At 40.1% G+C, this 26,369-nt stretch overlaps 1 long non-coding RNA gene across 15 annotated transcripts in view; it reads left to right on the top strand.

Annotated features, from left to right (window-relative positions):
• The window catches only part of LOC107986777 (uncharacterized), a 303,857-nt gene that overhangs the window by 229,155 nt on the left and 48,333 nt on the right, over positions 1-26,369 (top strand). For 7 of the 15 annotated variants that reach the window (XR_001745132.2, XR_007060256.1, XR_007060257.1 and 4 more), the window contains one exon: positions 18,955-19,086. This is a non-coding gene — a long non-coding RNA (uncharacterized LOC107986777). Of the gene's footprint in view, positions 1-5,014; positions 8,032-18,954; positions 20,442-25,116; positions 25,719-26,369 lie in introns of those variants that run through there. The other 8 variants (XR_001745122.2, XR_001745127.2, XR_001745121.2 and 5 more) reach the window with 6 other exon arrangements.

Genomic DNA, 26,369 nt, shown 5'->3' with positions numbered 1-26,369 from the left:
TTAGCTGGGCGTGGTGGCATGTGCCTGTAGTCCCAGCTGTCGGGGAGGCTGAGGCAGGAGAATGGCGTGAACCCAGGAGGTGGAGCTTGCAGTGAGCCGAGATGGTGCCACTGTACTCCAGCCTGGGTGACAGAGCAAGACTCCGTCTCAAAAAAAAAAAAAAAAAAAAAAAAAAATATTCTTTAACAGGGCTCCCACTTACGGCCACTCTGATCACCAAGTTAGTGTTGGCCCAGCCTCTAGCCCCAGAGAAGCCAAGAATTAGTGCATCGATATTTCTCGTCTTCATACTGCACAGTGAAGTCAGTAATTGATCTTGTCTGATTCATTAGTAAATCGCCCCTGTCCCCTCATTCTGTGCGTCCATTGCACATCCTTGTTCTCCCGGGACCACACATTTCCCTGTGTGTTGCAGGTACTTCCAAAAACAGTCTCCTATAGAGACCTACTGCTCCAGTAGTTTCTTATCAAGGGCCCATTTGTACAGGGGAATAATTTTCTAGTTGGAAAGCAATAGACACAACTTACTTACATTTATTTTTAAAGAAAAAAATTGTCAGCGCTAACGGAGCTAATGTCTCCTGCTGGGATGTTAGGCTACTGAATTATTCTCCTCCAAGCGATTTGTAGACCCATTAATTGAGAAATTAGAGAAATAAGGGCACATATGCCTATGTAATTAAACTGCCCATTTTGCCTTTCTTCAGTAAAGCAGTTTCCAAGGATGTTAATTGGCCGGTGAGTTTCCCCGTGCCTGGTAAATCTTGATAAGTTGTACATTAAAAAAGAACTGCTTCCACCTTTAAACTGTCAGGGGGCTTTTTTTTTTCTTTAAGCAGATTTAGCACTTTGAAGAGTTAATTACAAATCCAAGAAATATTTCTGTAAGGTGTGCCTCTTGGCATATTGGATGCTAATGGCCCCTTCCTGCCATTAAATGATAAAAATTTTCTATTAGATTTTTTTTTTCTTTGCCTGTGACTGTGGTGAGGGAGCTTTCCTGAGAGCAGCCACCAGATTGCTGCTTTGTTTTTAGCGAGACATTCATTTCCTCGGAGTTTTGCTTTATGAGGAAACTATTTGATTTCTGTGTCTGCAGTTCTCCCAGTCCAGTGTCTGCCATTCATCACCCCAGTTATCCTGATGTCATCACAGATACATTGTCCTTTTTATGATGATTGTGGGAGAAATGACCATTCGTGTCCTTGGCTTCTCTGTGTCTTTATCGGCCCTGACACATTCCTTTTGATAGTTAATTGTCCCTTTTCTCCTTACTTTTATTTCCAAGAAAGAAAATAATACATGTATACTTTACTTTAGGAAAAAAAAAAAAAAGAAATGGCAAAGTGGAAGAGAGAAATTGTGTTTTGTGCAGTTTTTAAACAAGCAGCAATGGTAACTGGCAAGAGTCCTTTCAATATTTTTTACATCGACAGTTTACAGCAATCATTTATTTGTCCCAGATTTTCTGGGACAGTCTCAATTGCAAATATTTTGGCCTGCTCTTGTCTCTTCAGACAAATGCATTTAAAATAGGAAAGATTTTAAAAAACTCCTTTGTTGATGAATATATCCTGAAGTTTAAGTTCAAAAAATATAACCGCAATGAGCATCTGAGTAAGCACAGATAGAGTTTACAGTTAAAATTAAATGGTGCAGAGGCAAATCTAGCATATTTTAAAGGGGTGTGTGTGTGTGTGTGTGTGTGTGTGTGTGTGTGCGTGTGATTTCACTGCCGATAGAGGCAAATAATAAGCAGGTCAATAAATAAGTATAATTAGATGCATTGTCAAATTAAAAAAAGAAAAAGTGCAGGCTTTGGAACAAAACAGATGTGGGTTGGAGTCCTGGGAGCCTCGGTCGGAATCTTGACTCCATCATCTAGAAACAAATTCCCACCAAACATGTCTGAACCTCAGCCATATTAAATGAAAACAATAATATTCATCTGATAGGGTGGTGGTTAGGGCCAAAAGAGCAAAGGTTTGTAAAGTTCTTAGTGCAGTGCCTAGCATATAGAATTGCCCGAAATAAAAAGAGGCACATTCATAATAGGATTTTTAGGAGTAACACAGCTATGGTATAGTTAATAAAAGACTTTCTGGAGAGGGCAGGAAGGAGGAAGCAGTGAGGAAGGAGAATCCGCAGCGTTCTGGCAGGAAAGTACTTCTTCCTTCACCGTGTCTTGTCTTAAATCAAGTGAACCCAGGCTCCCACCTCTGCCCAGACCTGGAGCCTAATAGCCTAGGAGTGGATGAGCTGGGCACTAGAGCGGCCCCAGGACTTCCCTTGGATGTCCCTTGTCAAAGAAGCCATGTTGTCTGTGTCCCTCTGGGACGTAGACCCATCATTAGAGCATCTTTGAGAAAATCTGTGCTCTTCCAACCCATTTTTCCTATTGAGCCAGGGCTAGGGCAGGACAGGTTGCCTACCAGGTCTGCTTTCCTCCTCTTCATTCCAGGGCCCACTGCATGAGTGAGGAGCAACTCACTGCTCACCACCTCATCACAGCTGCTTGAAACTGCCACTTCCAGAATCATGTGAGTGCACTCGGAAACTTGGCAGCAGTTGTTGGTCAATTGCTCTTTAGAGTAGATTCCAGAAGTGGGTTCTGAGCCAGCTGTAAGTGGAGATGGATCTGGTTAACCAGTGGCTCTCAAAACCCAGGTGCATTAGTCTCATCAGGTGGGCCTGTTAGAAATGCAGCTTCCTGGACCCTCTCCTTGGTGATTCTGAGGCAGCAGCTATTTCTACAATGTCAAAGAATGAGCTTCTCAATGCATCTATTATTTCTTTAGTGTGTACCCAACCCAGCGCTAAGTGCTTTGCATACATGATCCATTTTTGTTTCTCCTCAACCCTGTGAGGCAGCTATCACTGACACCAGCTAGGAAGCTCAGGAAATCGAGGTTTGGAGAGGTTAAGTTACCTATTTAAGGTTACTCAGCTGGCCAAACTCTGTAGGCCAGCGATGCTGAAGCCCTGTGTCACAGGTCACTCTTGTCCACTGGATCCCCACCAGCCCCCCAAGTCTTCTCTATGTGAACTCCACTGAATTTGTTTTGGATCTGGGTGGACCAAATGCATGGTTCTAACTTTATGAAACAAGAAACTAAAAACGTAAACACCACTTTCTAATGGTCCTTCTGGGTAATCCAGGGCCCTTAAAGGTCCCATCTTGCCTTATAAAAGAACCATTACTAGGCATAAAAGAAGATCCACTTCCCCAATGTTTTTTCCACTCTCCAGTAAAAGAGTTTATTGAAGACTTCTTTCTACTGTCTTTTGTCTCTGAAATAAAGATGTAACAGGCCATCATTTCTGTAATCCTTTTAGGTATTTTTTTCTACATTTCAATGGCAGTAATATTTCTTCGATATGCTTTTTCACCCTGTTTGTCTAAAGTGGATGTGAGACAGTTTGAAGTGATTGGCTTTATTATTATTCTGATATTTCCATTGTTTTCCATTTAATAAGAAACATGTAACCACAGGCTAACAGGCTACTCTTGGATTTCTACAATTTTTCCAAAAGTATTATCATTTTGCTTTCAGATAACACTCCAAAAAAATAAATATTATTGTATCAACCATTCTACTTAGCATGGGTTTTGAGTATTAGAATTGAGCCCCAAGATTGAAGTCCCTTGTTAATTTCACTAGCAACACATATGTGCATCCGCTTAGTATAACACAACTAGGGTGACTCAGCATGGAGAAGAGATTTCCGTTTTCAATTGTGAAGACCATGGGGAGGATAAGAATAATTCTGAGGAGCTGTTAGGAGAATCTTTTGGCTGTTTTTCTTTCTAAAACCAAGAAGATGTGGAAACAGCAGACTACCCTCCTCTTATCTAGAGGCTGTGCCTGTAATTTTAAAAAATATTAAATTGGGAAGCAGTTGATGAGCTATTTTCTAAAGTCTAGATAAGCAGCAAATATATGCTAATCCTAAAAGAGAGGCCATTTTTGGTGGGGAGCAGACTGGAGCTTTGTTCTAGAAACTCTTTCTCAGTTAATAAAGCCAGAATGGCCTTGTAGAACCTCAGTTTCAACAAATCATAGTTCATTCTGTCTAAGCAGAGCCACTATATGTGATTGTGTTGGGCTCTCAGGGCCTTGGGGTACCTGGCTGAGGCTGAGTGAGGTTGAGTCATCTCACAGCCTGTCCTCTGCAGGCTGAACCCATCCAAAGGTGCCATATGCCACCAAGGCATGCACCTGTAGGCTTGGCCACCCAGGTAGAGCCTGGGTAACCTAAGGTGTACCCTCTCCTCTTTCCTGCTTACGTCACATGGTAAATGTGTCTGTTGTTACTAACAAGAAAAAGGAATCAGGAACAGGGATTGTCTCCAGGAATGAGCCAAGTGATGGAGTTTCTTATAGAAAATACTATTCAGTTTTAATTTGTGTAGTTGATTTTCAGATAGTCATAAGTAAATATTAAATGTTTATAAAAATGCAAATAATTCCTCATGGTTTAAAAATTGAACTTCAAACCTCTCACAAATTAAATATAAACAATTAATAGAGTGGTATCTTGGGGTAAGGATAAAGCAGAATCTTTTGGTTTTTTTTAAATAAAAAATAGAATGTAAAATTTTAAAAAGGGGCAACAGTAATGACAAGGGAAAATACATGGTGATACTGAAAAACAGTGCTTACCTTGTAAATGCCACAGAAAAACCCAAAACATTCAAGGCAGAGTGTTATAGAAAGCAAACTCGAAGCTGCACTGTAGAGATGCAGTGACAGATCTGAACAGAATCTCTGTCCACTCAAACCAATAACTGCATCCACGCCTTTGGAGGTTCTGCTGCAGTCTCTCAAGCAGTGCAGTTTTTCTGGGGACATCTGGCAATGTCTAGAGACATTTTTGGTTGTCACCACCTGGGGGTGGCTACTGGCATTGAGTGGGGGGGTGGAGGTCAGGGGATGCTGCAAAACATCCTACATTGTTCAATACACCACAACACCCCCACTCATGACAGAGAATATCCAGTCCAAAATGTCAACAACAGTGCTGAGGTCATCAGGAAACCCTGCTCCTTTAGGATTGCATCCAATCCTGAGCAACAGAAAAATCCTACTGCTGCAGTAACTTAAATAATTAAGAAGTGTGTCTTAATTATTAAGACACACTTAATATAAGACACACTTAATTATAAGAAGTATAGTGGTTGCCAGGCCAGAGCTTATGTTGCAGTCAGTGATGTCATCAAAGGCCCAGGAGCCCCAGAAAAACTCTTAGAAGATGCACATTTCAACTGGGCACATTACCAAAGTCAAACTGAGCTCGCTAGTAGGAAAACAGAGTCATGGATATTGCATAGGCCAATGGCAGGGTCAGTCACAGATACCCTTTCCCTTTGCTGTGATGCCTCTGCCTCTAGCCTGCCTTAACTACCCAGCAAAGCTCTATCCAGCCACTTTCTACCCAAATTTGGCTCTTCATTGGAGTCTTCCAGGCTATTCCCAGGCCACACTGATTTCCCTGAGCTAGATTTCAGTCTTTGGGGGCAAGGAGAACCGCAGGGCCAGAAAGGAGGCCCTAAGGGACAGAAATAGAGCTTTTGCCGCAAGAGCAGTAGTCGATGAATTGGACTTGTTTCTTTGCAGGGAGATGGAAAGGTTATAGTAAGATGGCATGGACATCTGTGAACAGAATAAAGAGATGCCAGTGAGGAGAAGTAAACTCAGATTTTTTTTTTTAGTTGGGCAAGCTTAGTTACTTCTTAAAGTAAAATCTCAAGTAAAATCAATAGCAAATTCAAAAATATAATGTAAGGATTTTATAAAGGGTTTCTGGCAACGATTACATAATAAACCAGTGGGTGGGAAAGAAAACATAAAAAGTAACGCCAGCTTGCCTATTATTACTAATAGGCAAGGCTATTAATAAATAGCTAGCTTATTATTATTATTGCAATACTGCTAGCAATAAAGATGACAAAAATCATAATCATAAGGTGAAGGCTTTGAGTCAATCTCCAGTCCACTGGAGCCCACTGCAAAGAAGGATACCGAGGTGTCATCTGAGCTTGGGAGGAGAGTAGGGTGATATTTTACTGATTAGTAATTGGTAGAATCTTCCAAGGATGTGGAAGGGGAAATAGTGTTGAGTGAGACATATATCTTCCTAGCCATGACTTTGTCTATAAATCCAGATAACAGGTTGGCCACAGAGACATTGGTCATGAAAAAGTGGGCCATACAGTGGTCTCCTTATGACAATGTGTGGACTCTCCCTGAAATTACCAAAGAAGTTCCCAAGACTTGGCTTTTCCTGCCAGTCCAGAGAAAGTTGATGAGATTATATCTTAAGTGTTCTTTACATCATTCTTGCACTGATCATTCATACATTTGCTGGTGGCTTCCAGCAACAGCTGCTTCCATAGGACCCCATCATCCTAAAATGGCTCATTATGCCAGCCTAATGAACCAGTCCTCTAAATCAGAAGTCCTTTGATCTATTTAAAAATGGAACCCTGGCAGTCCCCAAAAAATCCTGCTAAGCAATTCTTAGAAGACTGCTTAGTAGGGGATAGATCAGGATTTACTGAGCTCTAAAATGACCTCCCTAATAATTTGGTAGTGTTTTATTTCTTTTTCTTTTACACTTCTGTTCTGATTTCCCTTGAAACAATATCTCTCAGAAAACCCTATAAGACTGAAACATTTATCCTGTTTTTAAACACTTGGACTCTCCCTGAGAATTGCACTCTGTTGGTAAGGAATGCTGCTTAATTCTGTGTTCTAAACAGCCCCTCAATAACAGTGGAAGCGCTCAGTAAATACTTAGTAATCAATTTCAGTTACATTTGCTCAGAATGATCAAAATGGCATGGCTGTACTATTGCACATGCATTAAGTGACATTAGAGTGATATCTTTTAAACCTATTTTCAAACGTATTTAGAGTTTCCTTGCCAGTGTGTTTGATATAACAGGGCATGTGTTTTGAAAGAGGCTGAAGGAGAAAAAGGGATCTGTGCATAATGACCATAAGCGTATCCTCCGGTTGCTTTCCTGTTTCAGGGGCATGTAGGATGTACTTAAAAGGTCACTGATTAGTCCAGTTCCATATCAGTAAACAGTGTTTTGAAACAGACAGAGGAAAATAATAGGCAATGGAGTTTTACCAATATAATAAAGTAAAAAGCAGGGAAACATGGTTTATAGATTTCTCCAGAGGGATGCTTTCAAATATGACAGAATGGCACCTGAATAGCACACTGTGGACATATTTCACCGGTCTTTGATCAGACTTGATATCTAGATTGGATTTTTATTCTGCATTAAAATGTAGATTGATCTGGCAAAATCTGATACAAAATTGCACAGGAAAGGATGTTAAGCTGAAGACAGTGTAGAGTCTTGCTCAATGGGTTTGGGAAATCCAGCCCATAGATTTGCCTATCATCCACGACTGCCTTGGTAGCTCATCTAAATTTGAATGGGTCTATGCACTGCCACCCCTACTTTTTTGCTCTTTTTTCCATCTTGCACCCAACTGACATGAGTCAAAGGCCTTCAGTGTATCCCTTGGCAAATTCAGGTGGTTTTCCACCCAATAGCCATTCTATCTTGCTAAGCAAACTGCGATGTTGTTTAGGTGTCAGTTGACCATGTGTCTCAGAGACACCTGGATTTCACCCACCATCCCTCCTCCTCTCACCCAGAGGAAGATTCTTGACAGGTCTAAGCCCATCACGGATAGTTCCAGTCTCCTTCACTTTGGTTGGTTTAAATATGGGCATGCGGCACAATTCTGGTCAGTGAAATATGAGATGAAGTCTGTGGGGAGTGCCTAAAAATATTCCCCTTGCTTTTAAAAAGTTCACAAAACCCATCCTTGTCTTTTTTGGACATTGATGTCTACATCAATGGGAGCATCCATCTTGGAGCCATGAGAGCTGCTGGCCGATGGAGGAAAGCCAACACACTGAGGTAGCAGAGCAGAAGGAAGAAAAGAAATGGAATCCTTTATTACACCATTGAGATGCTGAGTTCACCCAACCTGCCCACTAAAGGTAACCACTATCCTGAGGTAGTAGACACTGTGATGTACCACAGATCCCTTCTTCAGGACAAAGGCATTCATTTCCTCAGCTACCAGAAATATTCCTTCTCTGGAAATCACATTTGGGTATTGCTTCACTCCAAATAGGTCCCCTCCTTAGGGGAAGCCTGTGTCTGATAATTGATTTGTATGGGGCACAAAGGCCTAACCACCTTGCTTCAATGGGGGAATAACTCTAAAGAACATCCCACCTCTAGAGTTTTTTGTGGATCAGCTAAGGCCTTGTGATTGCATTGCAGTTTAACTTCCTCTTCTGTCCAGTACTGCTTCTCTTTCCTCTTTACATGTGTTGTTCATGAAAGCACTTGTCAATAAATCTTCTGCATGCAAAACTCCCTCTGAGTCCACTTCCAGTCTAACCCAGCATAAGAGAGTTAATTTTTAAAGTAATCACTCCTTTGCTTTTTAAAAATGACTTTGCCACCGAAACTCACATGCATCCTTAAATGCCGTATATTATAACAGGTGCCTGGTCCCTTCCCCAAGAGGACTTTACATAAATAGAGTCATACACCATGTGTATTTTTTGGTGTCTGCCTTTTTCACTCAACACTATGTTTGTGAGGTCTCATGATTTATTGCATAATACTTGAATTTTATTTATTTTATTGTGTTATAATATTGTAGAAATTTACCACAAACTATTTCTACATTATACTATTGATGGGCATTTGGGCTGTTTACAGTTCGGGGGCTATGATAAACAATGTTGCTATGAAGATTCCAGTACATTTCTCCAACACACACTTGCGTGCATTTTTGTGTGGTATATATCTAAGAGTGGAATTGCTGGATCGAAGAGTTGGCATAGGTGCAGTTGTAGAATTCTGTCAACGGTTTTTAAAAGCGGTTGTGTGTACCAATTTACTGTCTATTAAAGTATAGGATTGTCGCTTCATATTCCTGCCAATACTTGGTTTTGGGGGCTCTAATTTTAATCTTTACGATGGATATGTAGAGGCATGTGTGGTCTAATTTGATTTACCTTATTGCTAATGGGGTTGAGACTTTTTCACGTCTCTACTGACCATTTGGATATCTTCTTTAGAGAAGTATCTGTTCATATCTCCTGTGTATATTTTCACTAAGCTGTTTGTCTTTTTCTTATTGAGCTTTAGTGTTCTTTACCTATTCTGGATATAAAGCATTTGTTGGTTACAGATGTTACAAAAGTCACAGCTTTCACTGGCTTGATTTTTCACTCTCTTAATCACATACTGTATCTTAATGAAAAGAAGTTCTTAATTTCAGTGTAATCAAAATTATTAATCTATTCCTTATAATTAGTACTGCTCTTTTGGTTCTGATTAAGAAATATTTGTCTCTCCAATATCATGAAGCTGTTCTTCTATGTTACTTTATAGTTGTTTTATTGCTTCATCTTTTATACATAAATATGTCTGCAGTATACTTGTAATTGTTTCTTGTGTACAATCTGAAATTATTTTTTCCCACACCGATATTTAACTCTCCCAGCACTATTCCCTGAAAAGGCCATCCGTTTCCACTGATCTTGGCAACACTTTTTTGAGAAATCAAGTGTCCGTACATGCATGGGCCTGATTCTGGGCTTTTCATTCTGTCCTAATTAGTCTATTTGTTTATCCTTTCATTGGCACCAAATTGTGCTAACTATTATAACTCTGTAATATTGATACCTCCAATTTCTTACCGCCCATTCATCTTTGGGAGTTATGGTTTTATCCCCAATCCTCCACCAAAACCGCTCCATCAAAAACACTCTGCAAAATCTCCCTGGTCAAGTCTCTAATGACTTCCATGATGCCAAACCAAATGGCCCATTCTTGGTCCTCATCTTACTCAACCTCTCAAAAGCCCTTCACGCACTTTTTTCACTAGGATTCAAGGAAATCCCACTGTCATGATTTTCTTCCTAAAGACCTGGCCATGTCTTCTGAGTCCCCTTTGCTGAATCATTCTCCTCACCCTAATCTCAAAATGTTCAAATCTCCTAGAGCTCAATCCTTGAACTTCTCTATCTACACTGTCCCTTAGGTGATCTCCTCCCATCCCATGGCTTCAATTCCAGCTACTCAATGATAGCATCCACATTTATATCACTAGCCCCAGCCTTTCTTTCAATTGCCTCATTGATATCTCCATTTGGATGCCAAGTAAATGCCTCAAACTTAAAATGTCCAAGACAAGATTACTGCCTTCCATCTTCTTCCTCAATCTAATCCTTCCTAGTGTTCCTCATCTCCGTAAATGGCGTCATTCAACTAGTTTTTCAATTCAAACCCCAAACTTTATTGTCATCCTTGATACCAAATACATTCTGAATTTAATCACGTTTGCCACCTCCATGAGTCCCACTCTGGTTTACATGAATCACTTAAGAATGTCTAGAGTTGGAGAAAACTTAAGCTTAAACCAAGGATCAGCAAAGTAGGGTCACCAGACCAAATCTGGCCTGCCATCTAGTTTGGTAAATAAAGTTTTATTGAAACACAGCCATTCTCATTCTTTTGTGTGTGGTCTATGGCTGCTTTTGTGCTACAACAGCAAAGTTGTCATTGTGATAGAGACTATCTGGCCCATCAAGCCTAAAATATTTGCTACCTGGGCATTTACAGAAAAATTATCCTGACCCCTGACTTTAGGGGGTCATTACTAGGCTCATGTAAGGACATCCAGAGGCATGTGATCAAAGATTGGTGCAGGGGCCAAATGATATCATGAAGGACAAAAGATCTTTCTAGTTTTCTATTCTGTCATTCTTGGCTTATTGCCTTACAGTCACAAACTGACTACTGCACCTCCAGGTATCATGTTCAAATTCCATATAAGAAGAAGGGGATAAGCTAAGGAGAAAAAGGAGGAAAAAAAAATAGTGTCAACCATATCTGTCACCCTTCTTACCAAAAAAGCAGGGATCTCCCTAAAGCTTTCTCAGCAGATTATCTGTTATATCTCACTGGCAGGAGCCACATTACATGGCCACCTAGAGCTGCAAGGGGAATCAGGAGACCAAACATCTGGCTTTTCAGCTTGTCTAGTAGATGAAGGAAAGGGAGAGGAAATGGAGAATTGGTGCTGGGTAAGCCATGGCACAGTGTGTGCATATGAACCCATTGTTATTTCTCTCCTGGACAACCTAACTGGTCTCCCTGCTTACATGCCTGCCCTTCACAGTCTATTAATCACACCAAAACCAGGCTGATGGTTCTCAGAAACAAATCACATTTTGTCACTTTTTGCTCAGAATCCTCCAGTTGCTCACATCACACTTAGAGTAAAATCCAAAGCTTTCCAGGATCTCAATTCTGATGGTTCTCCAGTCTTCTTCCTACCTCTCCCTTCCTGTTTCACTCTTATCCAGCCACACTGGCCTTTAGAGTGTTTTTTAAACACACAAACCATCCCGCCTGGGGGGCTCTGCTTGGGCATGTCTTGTCCCCACATTGTCACAAGACTTGCTCCATCACTATGTCCTGGTCTCTGATCAAATACCACCTCCTCAGAGAGGGCTTCCCTGTCATCTAAAATAGCACCCATATCACTTTTCTCTCCTTGCTTGCTTTATTTTTGTTCCTAGCACTAATAAGAACATAACATTATAATTGATGTTTATTTGCTTAGTTGCATATAGAATATAAGCAATGACAGTATTTATTTCATTACTGTATTTCCAGACCCCTAGAAGTAGGCCTTGGCACAGAGTAGGAGAAATAATTGTTAAATGAATTAGTGGATTCCCATTACTAGCAGTTTGTCCATGTTTAAAACTCATTTTTCCTGATGTTCACAAGGAAATAGTATGATCTGAAAGTCTGGAATCTTATTTTATTCCCCCTTTGTCTCTGGGTAATCCTGAGGATGTCCATCAGTCTCTCAGAGTCTCAGTTACATCATCTGAAAACCAGGGTTGGGGACAAAAGTTGCTCTCTAAGTAAGTGCTAGTCATCCTCAATTCAGCAAAAGGATCCCTATCCAAACAGCAAAAGGGGCCCTATCCAACCAGAATGTCAGCAAAAGGATCTCTATCTAATCAGAGATAGGGCAAAGAGTCTGTTCCATAAGATCCATCCAAAAGATGCCAGATACCTCCTTGTGCCCAAGAGCTTGGCTTTCCTCTGCTCTCTCTTTTGAGGCTTGTCCCTTTTACAGAGATTTAATATATGTCACAGAAACAAGGTAATGAATCCTTTCTCTTTCAAAGCACCTTTCATTCAACCATCAGTATAAACAGCCAGAGCATGATCGATTGTAAGCAATGGACATATCCTCTCCTTTCATGGTTGAGCTTTTGTTGCTGCATTGTGTCTTGGCTATTGTGCAGTCTATGTTCCATGTCCTATGTGCTATATAACCTGAATTTTTGAATCTTCTTATATATACAAAGCCATGCTGTGATTCTGGGAAAGGTTAAGGAAGAATAGGCAGCCCACTGAAATGTGGCAAGTCAACACTGTGAGACCTTTGGAGGTGATCAGGTAGGGAGAGATCTCTGGGGACTATGTCTGACTGTCACCTACCCTGAGAGGAGGAAAAGGCCAGAACATGGCATGGTCCCCTCCACTTAGGTCAGCAAGAGTGGGCAAAGCCCAAACCCTGCAGGAAGACTGAGGTTCAAACAGCCAGAAAATTGAAGAAGAAACTGACTGATGTGGGGAACTAGGGCCACTTCCTCTAGCTTCTTTTGTGTAAACCTCCTGGAAAATGATGCTGCCATGAGTTGCCAGTTAGAACTGACTCAAATCAAATGAGCAGGTGAAAAGTTTCCTAAATTTCTGTTTCATACTGTTGATGGTTAATAGATAGATTATGGGAGGTGGTTTCTCCCTCCCCCACCAGAAACTGGCCGGAAAACTTACTCCTCATCGATGTGTGAGCAGTGGTCAAAGTATTTGTCATGGTGTAATGTGTCACAGAATGACTTTTATGGCATTACAACAAATGCAGGCAGAGATCAGCAAGGCTCATGAGATTTGTTGTCACATTAGAGTTGACCTGAAAACCTTCAAAGTCATGTATTTGTGATACAATTCACCCTAGCACTTTTCAAGGCACAAATATTCACAGTATATCCTATTAAAACACACACTCAGAAAGCCACTGTTATAATTATATGCTTCATTCATTCATTTAATATTTACTTATTACTATCATCAATACTTTCTACAGTGAGTTCTAACACATCCCAGACTTTAAGATCATCTTTGAAAACATTGCTTTTTCCATAACAAGAAGTGTATTCACTTAACATACAAGTAGATTCCTTATTCTGTTATACAATTCACACATTGTCACACAAGAATAATACATTATCCTGGAGTTGAACCTGACTTTCTCTGTATCAAGGGTGATTAGTCGGCCATTTGTCTTGTTATTTCCAAGTCAAAATTAATATTTGCGTGCCGATGGAATTCCTTATCCTTGTGATATTTTTCAATATGTGACTAGCAAATAGATTCTAAACATATTCCGAGCAGGCATCTCATATTCCACTTTATGCAAAGCACTGAGATTGAATTCACAAAATTTTTCAAGTTGCAAGGAACCTTAGAGTCATGACCTCTCATTCTACAGATGATTGACAGCCAGGTAGAGTGACTCGTTCAAGGTCACCAGCCAATGAGTGGTTAGATTAGGATTCTTTCACCTTTACACCCAATTTTCTGGTGTTTTACACCACATTGCCTTTGGATTTGATGTAGAAGAAACACTTTTTCAAAGTCTGGATGGATAAAAATGTGACATTAAAAATATTACCTTAAACTTTAAGTGGAGGAACTCCAGAACCTAATGTATTTGAATTCTCATTAGGAAGAGATTTTATTCAAAACCACCCAGCAATGGTCTATTACTTTATGGGCATTCTACATTTCTCTATGTTCTATAAATTATTCCCAAAAGTTAAAATAATCAAAAACTAATCACCAGAAGTTCAAGCTACTTATTCACATAAAGTTATCAAGTATTTAAATTTCAAAAATGTAAATTAGAAAGACAATGTTCTTTTTATGTGGTTTGTAGTTTGTAAATATATGATAGACATTTCCATATCTGCAAATAATCTAATAATCTGTAAACCTTGCAGTTGAGAAGAAAGAAAATAACACCTCTTGGAAATGGCTCATGAATGTAGCCTCAAAGTCCACGGATATGCATCTGGGTGCAAGAAAAAGAGCATTAACATAGAGGAAAAGTCTCTGCCAGATACAAATTTGAGTTTTAGAAGATTTCTACCTTTTAATTTAATGTGGACATAAATGAATATTAGTAATGTGAAAGCTTTTGAAAGAAGAAGATGCTATGGTAACTTCGCTTCAAGGGGTACATCATCCCTGCAATGGGAAAATGCCCAGAATTTAGAATGTGTAAGCAGAACCCATATGAAGTCCACAGATATCTGGGTTGAGCTACAAAGCATTAGGCTTTCAAACCCCAGAGCTTCTATTACTGGACAAGTGAGAAAAACCAGCTGCACTTTTGCATTCTAGTGGTAGGCGGAGGAAGAGTAGCACTCTGAGTGTCTTTCATCACACTCACCCAGGTTATCTTCTCCATCTGATAGCTTGGCAGACAGGTTCACTGAATTGGATGCACCAAATTCGAGTAACTCAAATCTAAAGTCAATCAGCCTTGTTTTGTTAGTCTCTGAAACGAGCTTTTAAAAAGTGTCCTTTCTGTAACTCCTGAACACAAAACTGTCCTCATTCTCCTGTGTAAATTGCTTTCTATGACAACACCCCTCCTGTACACAGCTCTTTCTTTAGGCTCAGACAAGCTTCCTTTTTACTTGCACTCAAATCCAGAACTTTGTAAACAGGTTGCTCCCACCCTGCTTCATAAGGCTTTCCTCATTTTACACAACTGTCAAAAGCAACAGAGGCCAGAGTGGTGGGAGGCAGCCACGGTAGGTGTATTGATAAAAGATGCCAGCGTCCTAGTTCCAACTCTGACACCCCCTTTCAATATATAAACTTCTCGCCACACTGAAATGTTCATTATGCCATTCAGAAGTAGAGGTCTAGTGGGACAATTTGCTGTAAAGCGCCTCCGTGATTATAAAGAGAAAATCAGTCACTTATTCTGTGGGGATTGTTCATAAGACTGACAGACATGCTCAGTGTGGAGCTGGGAGTCTGCACCTGGTCAGGAAACTGCAAGATGGGACAACGGTTTCTCTGTTGCTAATAATTATGCCTTGGGTTTAATCACCAACTTCATGCCTGACAAAATGGAAGCCAAAGACTGGGGAAATGATGAAGCAATAGGTATTTAAATCATGGAACATTTTTCATTCAATTAGTATGGTGATGAGGCGCGCCGTTTGTTAGGGATTCTAGCTGATGCCGACAGTATTCAATTTAAGGTTAGTTGAAATGACGGCAGCAGAGTTGGAGAAGTGACATACAACAATGAATATGTCAGTTCCCTATAGGCTGGAGATAGACTTTTGATGGCTTGAATCATAGCTCAGAAAGCTAAAATTGAAAAAAAGAAAGTAATTTGCTGCCTGATATTCACAGTACTTTCTCTTCATTTTAGTGAAAGCAAAGAATGGGGTTAGGAAAAGACAGACAGCCTAGAGGAAGAAAACAGATGACTGTAGTCTGTAAATTCCATTTGCATATCATTAATCAATTTAGGCAGCTGGATGGTCTGGGCCTATTACTTAGAATACTATGTTAACCCAGCCCACTTTGTACTAGTCTAATTGCTCCATGGTACAGATAATACCACAGGAAGTGATAACATCACTGCTCTGGCTTTGAAGCTGTCAACTTGACTTTTTTTTTTTTCTTTGACAAATTTCACAATGATAATCACATCTCTCCCTGGGAGGTTGCTTCTTGATGTCATACTTTTAAATTTAAAATTGCTTATGAAATGATCTTCTACTTTTTCCTTCTCTCCTTTCCACCATTTGCAAAACCCTATCCATTCCGAGAATCACTAATCTTCACTAATTGCACAAACAGCATGTGAAATCTCTGCCAGGAGGTCTACTTTGATGCCCACCCTGCCATGAATATTAATGTATAGGCTTTTCCCAATGACTCAGGAAAAACTCAAGAGGCAGGGTCTATTGAGACACCATGTTTATTGCCACAAAGTGGCAATAGAAAAAAATTAATTAATTGAACAATTGGGAGTTCAGCTATTCAGTTCATTATCTCAAAGTGAAAGAGATGATAAAGATAGGATTAACTCTAGCTGGATGGGGATAAAAGGACCAACTTCAGTCACCTCTTAGTTAGCCACAAATGTGTAATCCATGCTGTGGAGTTTTCTGGGGTAAAATTTTAAATGCAAGTGTTTCTCCTTAGCTAAGGGTACGTAGATATCCTCTCCTATTATGTATCTATTGGTGTGTGCTCTGAGAATACTAAAGAGTAATTTTAGTATTAGCCCAAGTACTGGATGACTGTGTATTACATATGCCTCTGTTCTCATTCCTATGCCTGCTGGATGGGATGGACAAGGAGCTGGCTTTGAGGACGGAAGTCCTGCCATACCTAGCCATGTGATCTTGGGCAACCATATGTGGGCTTCAGTTTTCTCATGGGTAAAATTAAATAAAAAGGTGAATCACTGAAGTTTCTTCTGTTCTTATATTGCATGATTTTAACCTTTTAAGTCAACGTGTATTGAACTACTGATGGGCCAGATACTGTACCATGTGCCTCCCAGGCATTCTCTCATTTGCTCCTCCCAGCAGCCCTCAGAAGCAGATACAATTATTCATCCCATTCACAGGTGAGGACACCGAGGCCTAGAGAGAGAAAAGTCAAGCTCTGCATCTCATGCCCAGACATATGCCTGCCATGTGCCTCCCTATAACAGGTCTTAGGTGTTACTTTTTCCCTTCCTTCTTTCTTTCTCTGCCTTTTTTCTTTAGTATTAAAATTATTGTTTTTATGGAAATACTATTTGCTAATTGTTTAAAAAATCAATAAATACATAACAGCATGAATAACAAAACAAAACTAATCTACATCATCACCATCCAGGAAAAACTTACTAATATTAGGTAAGCATTATTCCAGATACCTTGCTATACACGTGTACACCCAGCTGGAGCTGGCTAGACACACAGACAAAATGGGCAATTATTTCTAGAAATAAAGTGTGTAAAATTATATTTTACTTGGTTCTAAGAATGAAAAAGAGGAAACTGAAGAAATGAGTCTCTGCAGGAGGTATTATTTTCTAAAGAAGCTCTTTAGGGTTAAGAAAATAAGTTTATCAAAAACAGTTAGTTAGAGATGGACAAGGTCTCACTCTCTCACCTAGGCTGGAGTACAGTGGCACAATCAAGACTCATTACAGCCTCAACCTCCCTGGCTCAAGTGAACTCCCCATCTCAGCCTCCTGAGTAGCTGGGACTACAGGCACATGCCACCAAGCCCAGCTAATTTTTTTTTTTTTTTGTATTTTAGTGGAGACAGGGTTTAGCCACATTGCCCAGGCTGGTCTTGAACTTCTGGGCTCAAGCAATCCAGCCACCTCGGCCTCCCAAAGTGCTGGGATTACAGGTGTGAACCACTGTGTCTGGCCTATATACTTCATATTTCAATTTCAGACACCATTAACTAATTCTATGCTATGAAAGGTGAGGAAAGTAGCCCTAATTCCCACGTTCTGACACCTTCTGATTTTCATTAGTTATATTACTTTTTTTTTACTCGATAATAATAAGATTTTTAACATTTACATTCTACGCTATACTCATAATTCTCAGGATTTGGAAGTAACTTCATAACTCCAGGATTTGTAGGTTGGGTTCTCAGTTTAAATGGATTTATTGCTCACTTGTCTTTTTATCACATAGCTTCTTCATTCCTGAATACTTTCATTCTGACTCATGTCTTAGTTGACTGGAGTCTATCAAGTGGATTTTTCAAGGAGGACTCAGAAACGCTGAATCTCTAAATTCTTCTGTGCTTGGGAATATCTGCTTGATGCTCTTATGTCTATACAAACACTTGCCAGGATTTACTATTCTTGGGTCATTTTTTTCCCTCAGAATTTTGTAGACATTGCTACATCGTCTCCAGATATTGGGACTGTGGGGAAGTCTGAGGCCAGCACCATTTTCCCCCATGGGTAATTTATTATTTTCCTTAGGCCTGATATCTAAAGAATTTTTTCCTTTATCCTTGACTGTAATAACTTAAAATACCATCACGCCTCCATGTTGAATAATTTTTATCAATTTGTCCTGGGTGAAACGTGGGGATTGTTTTATTCTGCAGATCCAGTTCTTCAAGGCAGGGTAACAGTATGCTTCCATATGATTTGGAAGATAATAGATAGGCTCCCCCCATATGAAAGTGCCCTCCTATAACCTTCTTACTAGTAAACCACTCTGTCTAAAACTATATCTTGTTCACTGTCATTTCCCTAGTGCTTGGCAGTATCTGGCACACAATGGACACGCCAAAAATATCTGGTGAAATAGAACACAGGATAAACGGAAACAAGGAGGGTTGGGGAGAGGCTAGAATGAGAAGGGCCACTGGAAGGAGGGGCGAAGATTTTACTCTGTGCATTGCTATGTCGAAACAGTAATCCTTTAAACACTACTCGATTTTAATCCACTCAGGAAAATCACGGGTGGGATGAACCACCGTTGACAAGGTGTTGTGCCTACCCCTTAATGTGGGGGGTGATGGTAAAAAAGTTTAAACCCACTGGTTGCGCTAAGAAGCACTTGAACCCTTTCATCTTGGACACTGGTCTCCCAACTGCACTCCTGCTTGAGTGTTTTCCTGATTCAATTCATCTTTCCAGCTGCCTTAACAGTAATTTTTTTTAAAGAAACAACTAGAAACAAGTATTCACAGAGACAATCTGCAGTCTTCGATTCTTGAATATTTCCCTACTGATTTTTCTTCAGGAAGAAGCAAAGAAGTCTAAGTTCTTTGGAGTAAGATGCTCTCAAATGCCTAGGAACACTGATCTCCTAACTTGTCTTCCTGCTTTGAGTGTCCCTCTGAGGTTAAAGTTCCTGCCTCAGTCTCCAACAATGGTAAGTACAAAATCAATGTTAGTTCCTGACCGCTCCCCCTCTCTGTGTATTGGTCAATCACTGTCTGATCATACTGTACTGAAATTAATTCTTGGAATGTCTGTCTTCCCCTAGACTATAAGCCTCTCTGGGCAAGATCCACGTCTTACTCATTTTTGTGTCTGCAGTTTAGTTCCTGGTTCATTGTAGGTTCTCAATAAACGTTTGTTAGAATGAGTTGATCTCTTGGATCCAGTGCCCCAGAAAGATATGTAAGTACTATTTTTATCCTTTCCCATTGTGTGTCCACCTTCTCTCCAATCCTAGATCACCAAAAGTGAAGCAGAAGTGATGAGAGTAGCAATTTGTAGTATCAAAACGACTTCTTATAGTGCACAGAAAGCCCAGCACTGTCTCGTATGGGAGACTCGTGGTTCTGCCACTGTCTTGCTGGGTGACCTGAGATAACTTCTTTTCTCTCTGGGTCTGATTCCTCACAGGTCATTTCCACTGCTGCCCACTGAGGAGTGCCACTGGAGATGATCTCACAACAAAGAGAGGGGGAGAGGTCAGGAACTAACATCTATTTTGTAGTTACCACTGTGGTATGGTTTGCAACATGGCTCTGTAACCCTCAGGATCCCTACCAGATATTTTCATCTATTCCCTTATTCTCCTCAGGTCCCTGGCCCTCCCCTTTCCTCTGTGCTCTCAGCAGCTGACCTTGTCTTTTCCTTTACTGAGAGTAGAGGCACCTCTTACAAATACTCTGGCCTCTGCCTGGACTGACTGGGCTAAATTGTCTCCGAAGATGGCCACCAACCATTCCTCCCACCTGTCTGCATGCAGGCTGCTCCTCCCGTCAGAAGATGGAGACTGCTTCCTTGCCCTTCAATCCAAGCTGGCTCATGACTTGCTTCAATGAATAGGAAATGGCAGAAGTGATGCTCTGAGGCTTCTGGGCCTAGACTTTAAGAGGTGTTGCCCCTTTCCTTTTTCCCTCTTGGGATCCAGCCTACCACATAGAGAAGTTTGGGTTGACAACTAAATGTGAGAGAGAGACAGACAGAGAGAAGAGGGAGAGCTGATTCAGCTAGACCTTAGTCATTCCAGCCATCCTAGCTGAAGCACTAGCATGTGAAAGAAGCCACCTTCTAACCTATCAATCAGAGCCCCCAATTTTACTGACCTCAGTCAACACCATGTGGAACAGAACTACCCCAGGGAGCCCAACCAACCCATACAATCATGAGAAATTAAAAACTGATGTTGTAGCCTCCTGAGTTTTAAGGTAGTTTGTTACACAAAAATACTGGAATTTTGACCCACCTTCACCTCCAATGCCAACCTAGTAAACCTGGATATATCTTTCAAAATTTGGCTCAAGTGTCAACTCTTTCATGAACCCTCTGTATCCTTTTCTTGCTCATTCAAGCCCTATTTTCTCTTCTCCTCCCCAAAATTCCATAGTACTTTGTATTACAAACTATGTGCTTACAACCCCCAAAGTCTCTGGGCATCCAGAAGGCAGAGATTTGGCTTAATTCATTTTTGCCTCTGCCTAGCCTAACACCCGGCACATTTAGATATTTAGTTATTGTTTGCTGAATGAATGGATGCATGAAGAAGAAAATTTAACAGATGATATCTACAGGCACATCTGGCTCCAAAATTGAATCATGTCATCTAGCAATGCTCAGTAAAGTTAACATAAGCAATTTCTCATACTACACCAAAGTGGAAGGATGACAGACAGCACACTACACAGAAGAGTTGAGATGTCCAGGAGATTAAATCCCTTGCTTGAACTTATTGTTTGAATCAAGACAAATTAATTAACATCCATGCATTGAGTCCAGTCTATGAAAATGTATAAGACTTAGTTGCCCCTTCCAAGAGTCACAAGCAGCCAAAATTTATTAAAGGCACTGCACTGGGCACCATTGTTTCATTTTACAGATGAGTCAAGTTAGGCCAGAAAGGCCTCAAGTCTCACATTTGAAAGAAGGTGGAGATGGGATTCCACCACAGGCCTGTCTGACATTTAAGCAGAGCACAGTTTTGCCTAGTCCAGAACAAAACACAAAAGTGGGAGAAAGCCAGAACAACCCTTCAGTCATAGAACCAGGCAGGTGATAATGAAGGCCATGTCTTTTGGCAAACCTCATTACCGAATAACAACAAAGACCTAAACACAGCCTCAGCCATGGTCTAGCACACATCATCTTCACCCAGAGCACTGCAGTGCTTTCTTAGTGTCTATGTACTCTTAGGCCTTCTTTCATTTCCATGCTACTTTCAGAATTAACTTCCTCAATACAAATATGATCCAGTTATGCCCCTACTGTAAATCCACAGAATAATGTGGCCTCCAACCACACCTGGACATTTTTTCTTGTTATCTCCAATCATTCTTAAACACAGGTGATAGAGTTTGAATATTTGTCCCCTCCAAATCTCATGTTGAAATGTGATCCCCAAGGTTGGAGGTGGGACCCGGTAGGAGATGTTTGGATCATGGGGGTGGATCCCTCATGAATAGCTTTGTGCCCTCCCCTGTAGTGAGTTCTCACTCCATTCATTCAAGAGCTGGTTTTTTAAAAGAGGGTGGCACCCCTCCTCCTCCCTCTTGCTCCTTCTCTTACTATATGACCCATCAGTTACCCTTGGCAAAAGCTTCCTGAGGCCCTTACCAAAAGCAGATGCTGCTGCCATGCTTCTTGTACAGCCTGCAGAACCATGAGCCAAACAAACGTCTTTTCTATATAAATTACTCAGCCTCAGGTGTTCCATTATAGTAACACAAATGAAAGGACACAATAAATGACTGGATGACCAACTGTCTCCAGCACAGGTGTGGGTTATTTTCAGGGCTCCATGCATTTGTACACGCTGTGGCCTCTTCCCATATTGCCCTTCTCTCCCTACAGACATTTAAACATCCTTTTAGGCTCGGTTCAAACCTCGCCTCCTCTGCAACACCTTCTTATTCTCCCAAGCAATATTGCCTGCTCTCTGCACCCCCACTTCGTCTGCTACTTACTTGTCACCTATGCATGTTTATGTATCTCTCCTCAAATCTGAAGGTCATTTTTGTATTTTTCTTAATCCGGCTTTCATCCTGAGCATCTAGCACAATTTCTGACACAGCCTAGACCTGTTATAAATTCTTTCTGAATGCAGAAGTACATTTTTTTCTTCACTCACATCCCTGGCTTGCTGGAAGAATACAGAATCTACAAATCTTCTTGCTTGTCTTCTCCTTACAGTGGAAAGTGTGGTGTGTTCAAGTTTTTAATAATAATCTTTCTCAAAAACTTTCAATTCTTTGGAAAGAGATGTTTAAAATCCCAAGGCCATTCCCTACTGCAAATGTCTAACACGCCGTTTGTGAAGCTGGAACGAATGGATTATATCCCTTTAATTTTCTGGCATAAATTCCACCATGCGGTACAGACTTCCTGTTTCCGCCATTTGTTCTCATGACAGCTCCAGTAGGAAGCAGCCTTGTGCCTTCGGGCTTGTATAAGTTTCCATCTTTGTCTGCAAGGCGATACCTGCTCAATGTAGTTCATAGCAGGGACTTAAGAAATTTGAGGGCTTTCAGAGTCTTCCATTTTTCCCTTGCTCTGAAAGGTGCATTTGGTTAATTAAATCATAAAATTCAAAGATTTGAACACGCTCAGAATTCAGTAATGAGGTACATGACATACCATGCCATTGTACAACCTGTTTCAAAAGGGATTTCTGCCTTTAAGCTTCATGGATAATTCTTGTGTCACATTACCAGCCTCAGGTAGGCACATTTAAGGATCACCAAATAAATGTTTGATGACATGAAATTAGAAATTCCTGCTACAACCTTGTGCAGCTCCACTGGCAAAGCGGCAGGACAACAGAGGATGCCTCCTAACGGGTAAACTACCCTATGGTTATGACAGTCATACAGAGTGTGCAGGGAGCAGCCAAGAGAACTTCCAAGAGTGCAGGCTCCTGGTGCCCTTCACCCCTAGCAGAGGTCGGGCACCAGGTGCAGACTGTAAATGCTCAGGCATTGTAAGAGTGGAGCCTTCTTACAACATGTTTGTTTGCTCTTCAGTATCACGAGGCCTGTGCTAAGCTCTAGAGCAAGTAAGATAGACAATCAGGATAAGTCTTCAAGTAATGAACAGATTATTAAAATTCAGAGGGTGAATTCTACTGACACCCAGGGTCTGCTTTCTATACCAAGAGAGATAAAATAATATCTTTAAATAAGTTATTATTATAATCCATTCTCTCCCAAACCAATAGGCTTATTTCTCCAGGTACTTTGTCATTAAACTATTCGCAGCATTTTCATAGTTACTAATATCATAGCTTACTCTGCTAATATTAAATTATTTGACAACATAAGCCAGAGTTTACTCTGGATTAGCTCCACAGAAAATGAGTGTAGAGGCCAGTGAGCCAACCAAATCACTGATCCTTCAATCCAAAGAAGGAAATGTCCTATTAGCTTAACAAATACATGAATTAACATACCTAGAGTATAGCATATTAGCTGTAAGCTGGTGGTTTGAAATCATTCATCTAGATGTGGGACAGTATTGTATACACAAAGCACAGGCTTTAGAGAAAGACTTGGACGTCAGCCCCAATATGTAACCTTGGGTAAGGGAAGGGGGTAATTAAAAGTTCTATGACTCAGTTCCCTCTTATGTAAATAAAGCACGTTCATAATAGCTACCTCCTTGGGTCATTGCAAGTATTCAATGAGGAAACTATGCAAACCACCTAGTCTAGGGCCTGGCATGTCATAAGCACTTGATAAATGTCTGATTATGGTCATAGAAAGAGAGGAAATATATAGAATAAGATCTGGTTTAAAAAATCAAGATAAATAGAAAGTACAAAATAAAATGGCAGAAAAATTTCCAAATCCATCATTAATCAACAAGGAAATGAGTTTCAATTGCAGCTAAGATGGAATAGCAGGGACCAGCGGGGACCAGATTTACCAACCCATCTGAAACAACCAAAAAACTTGACAAAATAAAAGAAACAATGTTTTTTAAGACACTGGATACTGGTAATGAAAGTAATCCCCAGGAGATGGGAAACAAATGAAGAGAGCCCTAAGATTACCTCAGCTTACCACCTTCAGCCAAGCAGAGCCTGATAGATTCTTTGAATTTAGGAGAACAAGTGGGAGTCAGGGGAGATAAAGGCAGCTAGAGTTTGCAGGACAGAGTACTAGAGATAAGTGAGCTGCCCAAAATGAGAATTCCAGGGATCTACACAGGGTCCTTCTTGAATATTCGGGAGAACACTGATCAGTATGTACATATAAGGAAATGACTCAAAGCTAGGGAGATAAAATTACCCTAAAGGATTACAGAGAACATTACCTATGGCTCACACTAGTCCAGGAATAGCGTCTGTTTCTACCAGCCAATTGGAAAAGCTCATAATTAACAGGGCACTGAATGTAGTATGCCGAAGGGCCAGGACCATGTCTCAGTCATGAGAAAAATCAGTCCTGAATTAAATGCTCCCTCATCTAAAAATTTTTAAAGCAAGACCAAAAAGGATCAAGCTGTTTTCAAGTAACTGAACTGCGTGCAAAAACAAAGTTCAAGAATATTTATATGAAAGCAAAAATATACCAGAATCCAACAAAGTAAAATTCACAATATCTGGCATTCAATCAAAAATGTTCAGATGTGTGAAGAGGCAGAAAAATATGATTTATAGTAAGATGAAAAAATCTATCAAAATAGACCCATAACTGGCAAAGATATTAGAATTAGCAAAAAAAATTTATTATAACTGTATTCAATATGTTCAAAGTGTTTCGTAGAGACATGGAAAATATAAGAAAACCCCAAAAAGAATTTCTAGTGATGAAAACTACAATATCTGATATTTTTAAATGTGCTGGATTAGCTTAACATTAGATTAAACATTTCAAAAGAAAGATTCATGAACTTTAAGACATAGCAACAGAAATTATTCCAAATAAAACAGAGAAAAAAGATGAGTTTTTAATTTGTTTGTTCATTTTTTAAGAAACAAGAAGAGCACCAGTGATCTAAGGGACAATTTCAAGAAGCCAAATATAAGTGCAATTAGATTCCCCAATGGAGAAGAGCAAGGAGGGGAATAAAAAATATATATTTAAAGAAATGAAAGTGGAATTTTTTCAAGTTCATAAAAACTATAAAACCTTAGATTCAAGGCTACCAACGAACCCCAAGCATAAGAAACAAAGAAAATTTCAAGGAACATCATAACAAAATTGCTCAAAACCAGAGATAAAGAGAAGTTTTACAGTTAGCCAGAGGAAAAAAGACACATTAAGAACAGAGAAACAAAAATGAAGATGATATCACATTTCTCTTCGGAAGCAATATAAATGAGAAGTTATTGTAGCAACATCTTGAAACTACTGACAGTACAAAACAAAACAAACTCCCAACATGTCTGTACTTAGCAGGAATGTCTTTTTTAAATGAAGGCAAATAAGACTTTTTCAGACATACAAAGTCTGAAAGAATTAATCTCCAGCAGCCCTGCACTACAAGAAATGTTAAAGAAAGTCCTGTAAGCAGAAAGAAAATGATACAAGATGGATCTATGCAAAGGAATAAAGAGCATTAAAAATGGTTAATACATGGGTAAGTATGTATCTTTTATTATTTAAAATTATTTAAAAGATTATTATTCAAATAAAAATAATTACAATATGTTGTGGAGTTTATGTCATGTGCAAAATAAAGTATATAGTAACTGCACAAAAACTAGAAAGCGTGGCCGGGCACAGTGGCTCACGCCTGTAATCCCAGCACTTTGGGAGTCCGAGGTGGGTGGATCACCTGAGGTCAGGAGTTCAAGACCAGCCTGACCAACATGGAGAAACCCCATCTCTACTAAAAATACAAAATTAACCAGGCATGATGGTGCACGCCTGTAATCCCAGCTACTCCGGAGGCTGAGGCGGGAGAATTGCTTGAACTCAGGAAGTGGAGGTTGCAGTGAGCCAAGATTGCGCCATTGCACTCCAGCCTGGGCAACAAGAGTGAAACTCCATCTAAAAAAAAATAAAAACACACACACACACACAGAAAAGAAAAGAGGAAAAACTAGAAAGGGTAAAACCTAATTACAGAAGTATACTATTATAGCATTCTTACACCTATATGAAGTAGTGTAATAATTTGAAGATTGACTATGATAAGCTAATGATGAACAGCATAAACCCTAAAGCGACCTAAGAGTTATAACTAATAAGCTAACAAAGCAGACAAAAAAATAATTAATAA

Source organism: Homo sapiens, chromosome 7 (assembly GCF_000001405.40).
Source record: "Homo sapiens chromosome 7, GRCh38.p14 Primary Assembly".
Lineage (NCBI taxonomy): Eukaryota > Metazoa > Chordata > Mammalia > Primates > Hominidae > Homo > Homo sapiens.
This window is presented reverse-complemented; position numbering and strand designations above follow the sequence as displayed.